The 11,610-nt window shown below is 48.3% G+C and overlaps 1 long non-coding RNA gene across 1 annotated transcript, besides 1 other annotated feature; it reads right to left on the bottom strand.

Annotated features, from left to right (window-relative positions):
* Window positions 1-5,466: 5,466 nt before the first annotated feature.
* On the bottom strand, window positions 5,467-9,073 carry LINC01766 (long intergenic non-protein coding RNA 1766). Its single transcript, NR_110750.1, has 3 exons — window positions 9,011-9,073; window positions 6,214-6,327; window positions 5,467-5,663 (listed from the first exon to the last, which is right to left on the bottom strand). It is a non-coding gene; the product is annotated as a long intergenic non-protein coding RNA 1766 (long non-coding RNA).
* Window positions 10,177-10,316: an enhancer, noted in NCBI's record as "active region_14486". NCBI's record gives its function as "activates an Ori minimal core promoter by ATAC-STARR-seq in GM12878 lymphoblastoid cells {active_cell/tissue: GM12878}" and the evidence as "EXISTENCE:reporter gene assay evidence [ECO:0000049][PMID:35858748]".

The following is an 11,610-nucleotide window of genomic DNA, read 5'->3' as shown; positions in this document are numbered from 1 at the left end:
CATCAGAGAAGAAGTTGGCCTTACTTCTCTTGCTCCGTTGTGTTCCTCGTTCCCAAGACAATGCCTGGGACACAGTAGGTGCTCAGAAAGTATTTGTTAAATAATGAGTATTTGTTAAATAAAAATCATGGCTGGGAACAGTGGCTCACGCCTATAATCCCAGCACTTTGGGAGGCCAAGGCAGACAGATTGGTTGAGCTCAGGAGTTTGAGACCAGTCTGGGCAGCATGGCAAAACCCTGTCTCTACAAAAAATATAAAAATTTGCTGGGCATGGTGGCATGCACCTGTAGTCCTAGCTACTCAGGAGGCTGAGGCATGAGAATCACTTGAACCTGGGAGCCAGAAGTTGCAGTGAGCTGAGATTGTGCCACTGCATTCCAGTCTGGGTGACATAGTGTGACCCTGTCTCAAAAAAAAATTTAATAAAATGAAATAAAAATAACAAGGAGGGTGGGGGGAAGGAGGCAATCCATATCTGTTACAGAGGCTCTCTACAATCAGAACCTGACCAGAACTCTAACCAGTTTGTTAACAGCCATTGAGATCCCCTCAAGAGCTGTGGTTTTTTGATAGACCATGGTAGCTCAGATTAGATGTCAACTGAAGAATCATGAGGTTTTGATATGGTTTGGCTGTCCCCACCCAAATCTCATCTTGAATTGTAGTTCCCCAAATCCCCATGTGTTGTGGGAGGGACCTAGTGGGAGGTAATCGAATCATGGGGGTGGTTACCCCCATGCTGCTGTTCTTGAGATAGTGAGTTCTCACGAGATCTGATGGTTTTATAAGGGGCTTTTCCCTCTTTGCTTGGCACTTCTCCTTCCTGCTGCCATCTGAGGAAGGACGTTTTTGCTTTCTTTTCCACCATGATTTTAAGTTCCCTGAGGCCTCCCCAACCCTGCGGAACTGTGAGTCAATTAAACCTCTTTCCTTTATAAATTACCCAGTCTTGGGCAGTTCTTTTCAGCAGCGTGAGAACAGACTAATACAGGTTTACAAATTTGGAAAGGAGAGCTTTATTTCTCATAAAGAGTTGCAGCCTGCAGCCGGGCCATCTCACAGGCCGAGAAGTGTAGCCTCCGGTAGAAGCTGAGAGCAGGCACCTCCAGTAAGGGAAGGATAAGGTCAGAGTTAACGCTGAATGGCTTGGCTCAGTATACATATTCAACAGGTTATAGGAGGAGCTATGAATATTCATGAAGGGAAGGTACAGCACATGTGTAGTAACATCCCATATTCACTTTTTTTTTTTTTTTTTTTTTTTTTTGAGATGGAGTCTTACTCTGTCACCCAGGCTGTAGTGTAGTGGTGCGATCTCAGCTCACTGCAACCTCTCTTTCCCAGGGTTCAAGCAATTCTCCTGCCTCAGCCTCATGAGTAGCTGGGATTACAGGCACCCATCACCATGCCTGGCTAATTTTTTTATTTTTAGTAGAGACAGGGTTTCACCATGTTGGCCAGGCTGGTCTCAAACTCCTGACCTCAGGTGATCCGCCCACCTTGGCCTCCCAAAGTGCTGGGATTACAGGCGTGAGCCACCGTGCCAGGCCCCATGTTCACTTTGGAGTGGAGACTTAACACTTAAATGTATTACAATTAGGCCCTATACATCAAAAGGTGATGCAGAGGACACAAAGGCCCTTTGTGTGCAGCCTCTGTAGACTGGCCAGAGCCACACCCCGTGGTTAGGTGGCCTCTGATCAGGAAGGAATGCTGGTCAGTTGTTATGTTGAAACCACAAAAGGGAGGAGCAGCCATGTATTTCAGGCCATTGGTTGAAATTAGCAGTGAATGAGTCTTTCAATAGGGCTGGTTTCTGTTTAACCCTTAGGGAAGAAAGCTTCATGGCAGTCAGCAAGGGAGGAGGTAGAATGAGGTGTGCCCGACCACCCGTTCAGTCACGGCTAGGAACTCAGCTTTTAGTGTTTCTCTGTAGGCCCCTTGGCCAAGACAGTGTTCATTCAGCCAGTTGGCGGACTTAGGATTTTATTTTTGTCACGTGCGTCCGTGTGAAGAGACCATCAAACAGGCTTTGTGTGAGCAGTAAAAGCTTTTTAATCACCTGGGTGCAGGCGGACTGAGTCCGAAAAAGGAGTCAGCAAAGGGAGATAGGAGTGAGGCAGTTTTATAGGATTTGGGTAGGTAGTGGAAAATTACAGTTAAAGGGGGTTGTTCTCTTGCAGGCAGGGGCGGGGGTCACAAGGTGCTCGGTGGGGAGCTCCGGAGACTTATTGTCCAGGAGAAGGAATGTCACAAGGTAATGTCATCAGTTAAGGCAGGAGCTGGCCATTTTCACTTGTTTTTGTGGTTCTTCAGTTGCCTCAGGCCATCTGGATGTATACATGCAGGCTTGGGCTCAGACACCTGACAATTTTTATTTCTCACAGGTCTCTTATTTACAGCCTCCTGACAAGGATTCTTTGCTTGGCCAAACTTTAGTCAGGCTTCTGAACCTGGGCCGGGCCCAGTGGCTCATGCCTGTAATCCCAGGACTTTGGGAGGCTGAGGCAGGTGGATCACCTGATCTCAGGAGTTTGAGACCAGCCTGGCCAACATGGAGAACCCCAGCTCTACTAAAAATATAAAAATTAGCCGGGCGGCCAGGCGCGGTGGCTCACGCCTGTAATTCCTACACTTTGGGAGGCCAAGGCAGGTGGATCACCTGGGGTCAGGAGTTTTAAGACCAGCCTGGCCAACATGATGAAATCCCATCTCTACTAAAAATAAAAAAATTAGCCAGGCGTGGCGGCAGGCGCATGTAATCCCAGCTACTCAGGAGGTGGAGGCAGGAGAATCACTTGAACCTGGGAGGCAGAGGTTGCAGTGAGCCGAGATCATGCCACTGTACTCCAGCCTGAGTGAGAGAGCGAGACCCCGTCTCAAAAAAAAAAAAAAAAGAAAAGAAAAGAAAAAAAAAAAAAAAAAAAAAAGAAAGGCTGGGCACGGTGGCTCACGCCTATAATTCCAGCACTTTGAGAGGCCGAGGCGGGCATATCACGAAGTCAGGAGTTCAAGACCAGCCTCACCAACATGGTGAAACCCCATCTCTATTAAAACTATAAAAAATTAGCTGGTTGAGGTGGTGAGCACCTGTAATCCTAGCTACTCAGGAGGCTGAGGCAGGAAAATGGCTTGAATACGGGAGGCGGAAGCTGTAGTGAGCCAAGATTGCACCACTGCATTCCAGCCTGGGTGACAGAGTGAGACTCCATCTCAAAAAAAAAAAAAAAAGCATCTGAACCTTCTCCTTCTGTGCACTTCTTTGTAAAATCCAGTTGTAGCAAAAGAACCCTTCTACGTCAGTTTAGCTAGAAACCCTCATCCTCTGTATCTGATACACCTCGGCATCTGATCAGGTTCCTCATCCTCCACCATCCCCCTGGTGATGTCTGGTCACCCTGGCCTGTCTTCAACTAGAATCCTATTAGGTTGGTTTAGTCAGAATCCCCCTTACCCTCAATGTTTTCTCTTACTAATTTTCCATCCACTGACCCCTACCCTGCTCCTTGGGTAGGACTTCCCACTTGCTCATGCTGTATTTAGTGTTGAGCCCCATCTTTCTCCTCCAGTGCAGGCCCCTGTCTCAGTATTCCCTCTGCATATTGCAATGGTCCTGAATAAAGTCTGCCTTACTGTCTTTTTCTTTTTGAGATGGAGTCAGTTTTGCTCTGTCCCACAGGTTGGAGTGCAGTGGCACAATCTCGAACCACTGCAACCTCTGCCTCCCAGGTTCAAGCAATTCTCATGCCTCAGCCTCCTGAGTAGCTGGGATTACAGGTGCACACCACCACGCCTGGCTAATTTTGTATTTTTAGTAGAGACAAGGTTTCACCATGTTGGCCAGGCTGGTCTTGAACTCCCAAGCTCAAGTGATCCGCCCGCCTCGGCCTCCCAAAGTGCTGAGATTACAGGCATGAGCCACTGTGCCTGGCCCGCCTTACTGTCTGTAACGAGTGTCATTAAACAAGTGTTTCTTTAGTAACCCTTCCCAAGTTTTCTTCCATTATATATTGGACCACTCCGATTGTCACTGTCTGGTGGCATGTCTGTCTCTCACCCCAATTTATATGTTCTGAGGGGGTTGAGTTGAATTTGAAGTAGTCATTGCTACGTCTCCAGAGTCAGGTAGCACAGCCAACGCCCTTGGTAGGCAGAACTAGACTTGCGATGTGAATACATGAATCTGGGCAGGCTGTCCTCGAGCAACGGGGTCCTCCTCTCTCTCCCATGTCCCCCACGCCATAGCAGGGTCCTGGAGTTGGTCTTGAGTTCTGGTCGAGTGGGCTGCTGGCACTACCACTTCCTTCCCTTCAAGCTGCTGACCCAGGCTGGCAACACTTGTGTGATACTGTGACATATATATTTGGTCTAGGTCCCATTTTGTGGCCCAGAGCTCCTAAAACCCTTGGAATCGCTGGAGTGATAATAGTGTTTTGTTTTTTTTTTTTTTGACGGAGTCTCGCTGTGTTGCCCAGGCTGGAGTGCAGTGGCATGATCTCAGCTCTCTGCAACCTCCACCTCCTGGGTTCAAGCGATTCTCCTGCCTCAGCCTCCTGAGTAGCTGGGATTATAGGCGTATGCCATCACACCTGTCTAATTTTTGTATTTTTAGTAGAGACGGGGTTTTGCCATGTTGGCCAGGCTGGTCTCAAACTCCTGGCTTCAAGCGATCTTCCTGCCTCAGCCGCCCAAAGTGCTGGGATTACAGGCCTGAGCTACTGCACCTGGCCAGCTGGAACAAATTAATCAGGCTTGAGGAGGGGGGTCATGGGAACACCTGATTTATAGCTTGTCAGTCACAAGTCTAGGTGACAACTTACCACTTGTGGCTGACATCCAAATTTGGGGGCAGTCTTGTGGAACTGAGCCTTCAACCTGTGGGATCTGATGCCATCTCCAGGTAGATAGTGTCAGAATTGAATTAAATTACAGGACACCCAGTTGGTGTCTGCTGGAGAATCTGGTTGGTTGGTAGGTGGGGAAAATACCCCTGCCCCTGGCTCTAACATTTGGTGTTAGAAGTGTTATGCTGAGGCCTGGTATGGTGGCTCACACCTGTAATCCCAGCACTTTGGGAAGCTAAGGTGAGTGGATCACCTGAGGTCAGGAGTTTGAGACCAGCCTGGCCAACACGGTGAAACCCCGTCTCTACTAAAAATACAAAATTAGCTGGGCATGGTGGTACGCACCTGTAATCCCAGCTACTCAGGAGGCTGAGGCAGAAGAATCACTTAAACCTTGGGGGCAGAGGTTGCAGTGAGCCGACATCGTGGCACTGCACTCCAGCCTGGACAGAGGAAGACTCTGTCAAAAAAAAAAAAAAAAAAAGAAGTGTTACTTTGAGGGGCATGTAAGAATAGGAAGAACACTTTGCATTTTGTTTTTCTAATCTTAGATAGCTTGGCACTCCAGACATTGAGGAGCAGGTGTTCCATTCAGCCCAAGTAGATGCTTAGAGCCAAGGTAAATTGCACTGTGGTGTATATTTGGTGGTTTGTTCAAGAGCTGGGAAGCAGTTTACAATCTAAGTAAGTATATCAGGTAGGTGTACAAGATGGTACCTAAGATTCCCACAGTGATGCTCGCGATGGCCCAGTAGTAGGCTTGTTTGGAGGTCTTGGCTGCCAGCTCATAGTCACTGGATTTATTGTAGTTCTTTGTCTACAATACAAACTTTGTCTGAGTTTTAGGAGAGAGGGAACAGGGAAAGATGAGTATAAAAGAGTTATTGCGTGGCCGGGCATGGTGGCTCATGCCTGTAATCCCAGCACTTTGGGAAGCTGAGGTGGGCAGATCACCTGAGGTCAGGTGTTCAAGACCAGCCTGGCCAACATGGTGAAACCCAGCTCCACCAAAAATACGAAAATTAGCCAGGCGTGTTGGTGGGCGCCTCTAATCCCAGCTACTCAGGAAGCTGAGGCAGGATAATTGTTTGAACCTGCGAGATGGAGGTTGCGGTGAGCTGAGATCTCACCACTGCACTCCAGCTTGGGTGACAGAGCGAGACTCTGTTTCAAAAAAAAAAAAAACAGTTGTTGGGTGAGGGTGGGCTGTGGAACTGTAAGGACTCAGGGTGGGGGTCTGAACCCACAGGAGGTGCTGGTGTTGCTCAGGCTCCTAGTTCAGAAGGGAGAACAAGGAAGAAGTTGAGTCAGGGTCAGGGGCAAGATGGAGAGGGAGGGTGAAGGATTGGCATGATGCAGGTGCCCACCAGGCAAGAAAAGATCACGGCTGGGATGGCTAGGGGAAGGCAACAGAAGAGGCCCAGGATGGACAGGCAGAGGTAGTCGCTGGATTCATCCTCATCAGACATCAGTTCAAACACCTGGGGGGCAGAGAGTTGGTTATGTCTCACTATGGCTTCTGAACTCTAACAATCCTTTCTCACTCTCTCCCTACTTACCCTAACACATCTCTCCTTGGCAGCTATATGATCTTCATTGACCCCATTTAAAATTCTCATTGACTTTCTCTAACCCCCACCATGTCTCCTCTAACCTCTCTCTATCCCTTTTTTTTATTTTTTATTTTATTTATTTATTTTTTTGAGACGGAATCTCGCTCTGTCATCCAGGCTAGAGTGCAGTGGTGCGATCTTGGCTCACTGCAAGCTCTGCCTCCCAGGTTCATGCCATTCTCCTGCCTCAGCCTCCCGAGTAGCTGGGACTACAGGCGCCCGCTACCACGCCTGGCTAATTTTTTGTATTTTTAGTAGAGACGGGGTTTCACCGTGTTAGCCAGGATGGTCTCAATCTCCTGACCTCGTGATCCACCTGTCTCAGCCTCCCAAAGTGCTGGGATTACAGGCGTGAGCCACCGCGCCCGGCAAATCCCTTTTATTTTTTGAGACAAGGTCTTGCTCTCTCACTCAGGCTGAAGTGCACTGGCATGATCACAGTTCACTGCAGCCTCGAACTCCTGGGCTCAAGCAATCCTCCTGCCTCAGCCTCCCACGTAGCTGGTACAAACCACCACACCCAGCTAATTTTTGATTTTTGTTGTTGTTGTAGAGATGGAATCTCATTATGTTGCCCAGGCTTGTCGTGAACTCCTGGCCTTAAATGATCCTTCTGCCTTGATCTTTCAAAGTGCTAGGATTATAGGTGTGAACCACCATGCCTGGCCTCTGTATCGCTCTTATTTATTTACTGAGACAGAGTCTCAGTCTTTTCTCCAGGCTGGAGTACAATGGTGTGATCTCAGCTCACTGCAACCTCTGCCTCCTGGGTTCAAGCAGTTCTCGTGCCTCAGCCTCCTGAGTAGTTGGGATTACAGGCATGTGCTACCATGCCCAGCTAATTTTTGTATTTTTAGTAGAGTTGGGGTTTCACCATGTTGGCCAGGCTGGTCTTGAACTCCTGACCTCAGGTGACCCACCTGCCTTGGCCTCCCAAAGTGCTGGGATTACAGGCATGAGCCACCACACCCAGCCCTTTCTTATTTACTTATTTTTTATTTTTGAGACAAAGTCTCACTATGTCACCCAGGCTGGAGGGCAGTGGCACGATCTCGCCTCACTGCAGCCTCTGCCTCCTGGGCTCAGGCAATTCTTATGCCTCAGCCACTTGAGGAGCCGGGATTACAGGTGTGCACCACTATGCCCGCTAATTTTTGTATTTTTAGTAGAGACTGAGTTCATCGGTCTGGTAGTTGGCCAGGCTAGTCTTGAACTCCTGGCCTTGAGTGATCCTCCCACCTCGGCCTCCCAAAGTGCTGGGATTACAGGCGTGAGCCACCACGCCCGGCCCATAGCTCCTCTTGTAACCTGTTAAATATATGTGTTTAACCACCCTGTCATCATATCTCCACAGGAGCTCCAGGTACAATTGACAGCTGGGAATGTGCCTGACAATTAAGACTAAATGCTGTGTACACATCTCAGATAATTCAGTAAATGTCTCAATAGCCCTGAGAGACATGCACCTAAAAATCAAAGCTATGTCTGACCCCACATTATCACCAGGTCAATGGTTGGCATCCTGTTGCAGGTGAGGACTGTTCTCACCTGGAAAGAAGCTATTTACAACTTTGGCCCTAGTTGCAATGATAGACATACTTCTCTGCTGTGGATTTTTCTGCTGTTTCACCTTCTATATGGGAATGCAAGACAGACTTCCCCAGAGACTTTCCAGACCTTACACCATATTGGTCCAACTACTCATAAATATTTCCAACTCCAAGTGGATCGGTTCCATTCTGATGACTAATCACAATGCCCTCTTTCAGCAGGAAGTAGCCAGCATGAATGTGGCATCCAAATCCCATAGAAATGGAATGGAATTTGACAGTGGGAAACTGTAATTGAGTACCACATTTTTTTTTTTTGAGACAAAGTCTTGCTGTGTCGCCCAGGCTGGAGTGCAGTGGCGTGAGCTCAGCTGCAACCTCCGCCTTGTGGGTTGAAGCGATTCTCCTGCCTCAGCCTCCCAAGTAGCTGGGACTACAGGCACCTGCCACCACGCCCGGCTAATTTTTGTATTTTTAGTAGAGACGGGGTTTCACTGTGTTGGCCAGGCTGGTCTTGAACTTCCGACCTTGTGATCTGCCTGCCTCAGCTTCCCAAAGTGCTGGGATTACAGGTTTGAGCCACTGTGCCTGGCCAGAGTACCCCATTTTTAAAGAAAAAAAAGGATTTTTTTCCTTTTTCTTTTCCCCCCATCTCCTACTTAACTCTTTAGGAATGCAACTGTAACCTCCCTACATGGCAAGCTTATCTAACAATATGTTTACTTAGAAGTTCCAGGGACTGAACCTTGAAACAAATCAGGCACCCCCAGAATTCTCTCCCATCAGATTGCCTTGAGACAATGGTCAATTTCTCTTCTCACGATGGTGACAGCTAGAACACCTGATAGATAAGACATCAAAGCATGTCACATAGACCCCACACCTCCTTGCCCCCCACCTTTATGTCATTCACATCAAGCCCCCCTTTAAAAGTCCCTGCTTTCTGTCCTGAAAGCTGAAGCAATACCCTTAAGGCAGGAACCTGTACCTCTTCCCCTCACCTGAGCTCTGGAATAAAGTCACCTTCTTTCTACCAGAACTTGCTCTTGTTAATTGGACTCTGCAAGCGTGGAGTGACTGGACCTGTGTTTGGGTATAAAACCTTCATTATAAATTCACTGTTCCCTTATAAAACTCTCACCCTGTAAAACTTCTTTGTCTTCTGTTTTTTTTTTTTTTTTTTTTTTTTTTTCAGAGACAGGGTCTTCTCTCCCAGGCTGTAGGAGTGCAAAGGCACAATCATAGCTCAGTGCAGCCTCAAACTCCTGGGCTCAAGTGATCCTCCTGCCTCAGCTTCCTGAGTGGCTGGGACTACAGGTGCACACCACCAGGCCCAGCTAACTAAAATTTTGTTTTGTTTTGTTTTTGTTTTGCTGGGTGTGGTGGCTGACGCCTGTAATCCCAATACTTTGGGAGGCCGAGGTGGGCGGATCACCTGAGGTCAGGAGTTTGAGGCCACCTTGGCTAACATAGTGAAACCCCGTCTCTACTAAAAATACAAAAATTAGCCGGGCGTGGTGGCACGCACCTGTAATCCCAGCTACTTGGGAGGCTGAGGCAGAACTCGGGAGGTGGAGGTTGAAGTGAGCCAAGATCCTGCCACTGCACTCCAGCCTGGGTGACACAGCGAGACTCTCTCAAAAAAAAAAAAAAAAAAAAAAAATTTTTTTCTTTTGGTAGAGATGGGGTTTTGCTACAATGTTGCCCATGCTGGTCTTGAATTCCTGGGCTCAGGTGATCCTCCCACCTCTGCCCCCCAAAGTAAAACTTCTGTTAGCTCTCTCACTGTTCCTTTTATAATATCCTTTACTTCGTCCCTATGAATCCTGCGGGGTCCTGCTGTAAACCTTTCCTGTTCGCCCATAAGCTCCCTGCCCCTTTAGCTCCTCTAAGACCTTATTTGACCACCTATTCACTCCTCTTGCTGGGACTATAGGCGCCCGCCACCACGCCCGGCTAATTTTTGTATTTGTAGTAGAGACAGGGTTTCAGTCTCTACTTCTTTGTCACCTTACAAAGTCCTGCCCTGTCTCCCTCTAACACCTCTCAACTTCTGAAACCAGCTTTCTGACTCTTTGAACTCCCTCTCCAACCACGTACAACAGCCTTCCTGTTCTAAACCCGTGCCCTTGTGACATATGTCTGTGTCCACTTATATCACCCCTGAGGTTCCTTTATGATACCCTTTCTGCTCTCATCATTTCCCCTCTACTCTAACACTCCTCCTCCTACTCCTGCCCTCCTGGAACATTCCCAGGAGGGCACCTAGGTCTGGCACTATGCTCTTCCTTGATCACCAACCACAGGGGATTACCATGGCGGCCAGGCAGGCCCCGCCTCCTAGCCTGTCTCTCTACTTCTACTGGCCAATTGGAGGTGGTATGTCATAGGGTGGGAACCAACACCTGGCTTCTGATTGGTTTGATGGGGTGACAGCTCCTTCTACTCTCTCAAGTGATTGGCCAATTGAGGAATCCCTGGTTCCACCTTCAAAACAGACCTATAAATAAGCCTCATTTCCTTGATCATCTTTGTTTAAAGATTCCTCCTGAGCATCTTGAGAGAAAAGCACTACTTGGGGCAAGAGTGATGTAGGCCTCGGAGTCTTGTGTTTCAGGAAAAACACAATGCATTTTCTCTGCTCTCATACCACAACAGTCAACACAGAAGAGTTCTTTGATCAAATGTGTGGGTTCCCCCCTTTTTCCCCACCCCCTCAAGCCCCTCCAACACCAAGCAAACAATCATTTCTTTTCTTCCTTCCTTTCCTTTCCTTTCTTTCCTTCATTCTTTCCCCCTTCCCTTCCCCTCCCCTCCCTTTCCCTTTCCCCTTCCCTTCCCCTTCCCCTTTCCCTTTCCCTTTCCCTTCCCTTCCCTCTTTTCTTCCTTTTCCTTCTCTTCTTTCTTTTCCTTCTTTCTTCTTGCTCTGTCTTCCAGGCTGGAGTGTGGTGATGTGATCTTGGCTCACTGCAACCTCCGCCTCCTGGGTTCAAGTGATTCTCCTGCCTCAGCCACCTGAGTAGCTGGGACTACAGGTGCGCACCACCATGCCTGGCTAATTTTTTGTATTTTTAGTAGAGACGGGGTTCTGCCATGTTGACTAGGCTGGTCTCGAACGCCTGACCTTAAGTGATCCGCCTGCCTTGGCCTCCTAAAGTTCTAGGATTACAGGCATTACGCCCGGCCTACTTCTATTTTTTAAGTTTTTAATTTTTTTATTTTTTGAGACAGAGTCTCACTCTGTTGTTCAGGCTGGAGTGCAATGGCGTGATCTCGGCTCACTGCAACCTCCGCCTCCTGCATTCAAGTGATTCTCCTGCCTCAGCCTCCCAAGTAGCTGGGATTACAGGCACCTGCCACTATGCCTGGCTAATTTTTGTATGCTTAGTAGAGACTGGGTTTCACCATGTTAGTGAGGCTGGTCTCGAACTCCTGACCTCAGGTGATCAGCCCATCTTGGCCTCCCAAAATGCTGGGATTGCAGGAGTGAGCCACCGCGCCTGGCCTACTTCTATTTTTTTTAAGACAAGGTTTTGTTCTGTTGCTAGTCTGGAGTGTAGTGGTGTGAACACGGCTCACTGCAGCCTTGACCTCCTGGGCT

The sequence above is a fragment of the Homo sapiens genome, chromosome 19 (assembly GCF_000001405.40).
Source record: "Homo sapiens chromosome 19, GRCh38.p14 Primary Assembly".
Lineage (NCBI taxonomy): Eukaryota > Metazoa > Chordata > Mammalia > Primates > Hominidae > Homo > Homo sapiens.
The sequence above is the reverse complement of the archived record's forward strand: the minus strand, read 5'-3'. Positions and strand labels throughout refer to the sequence as shown.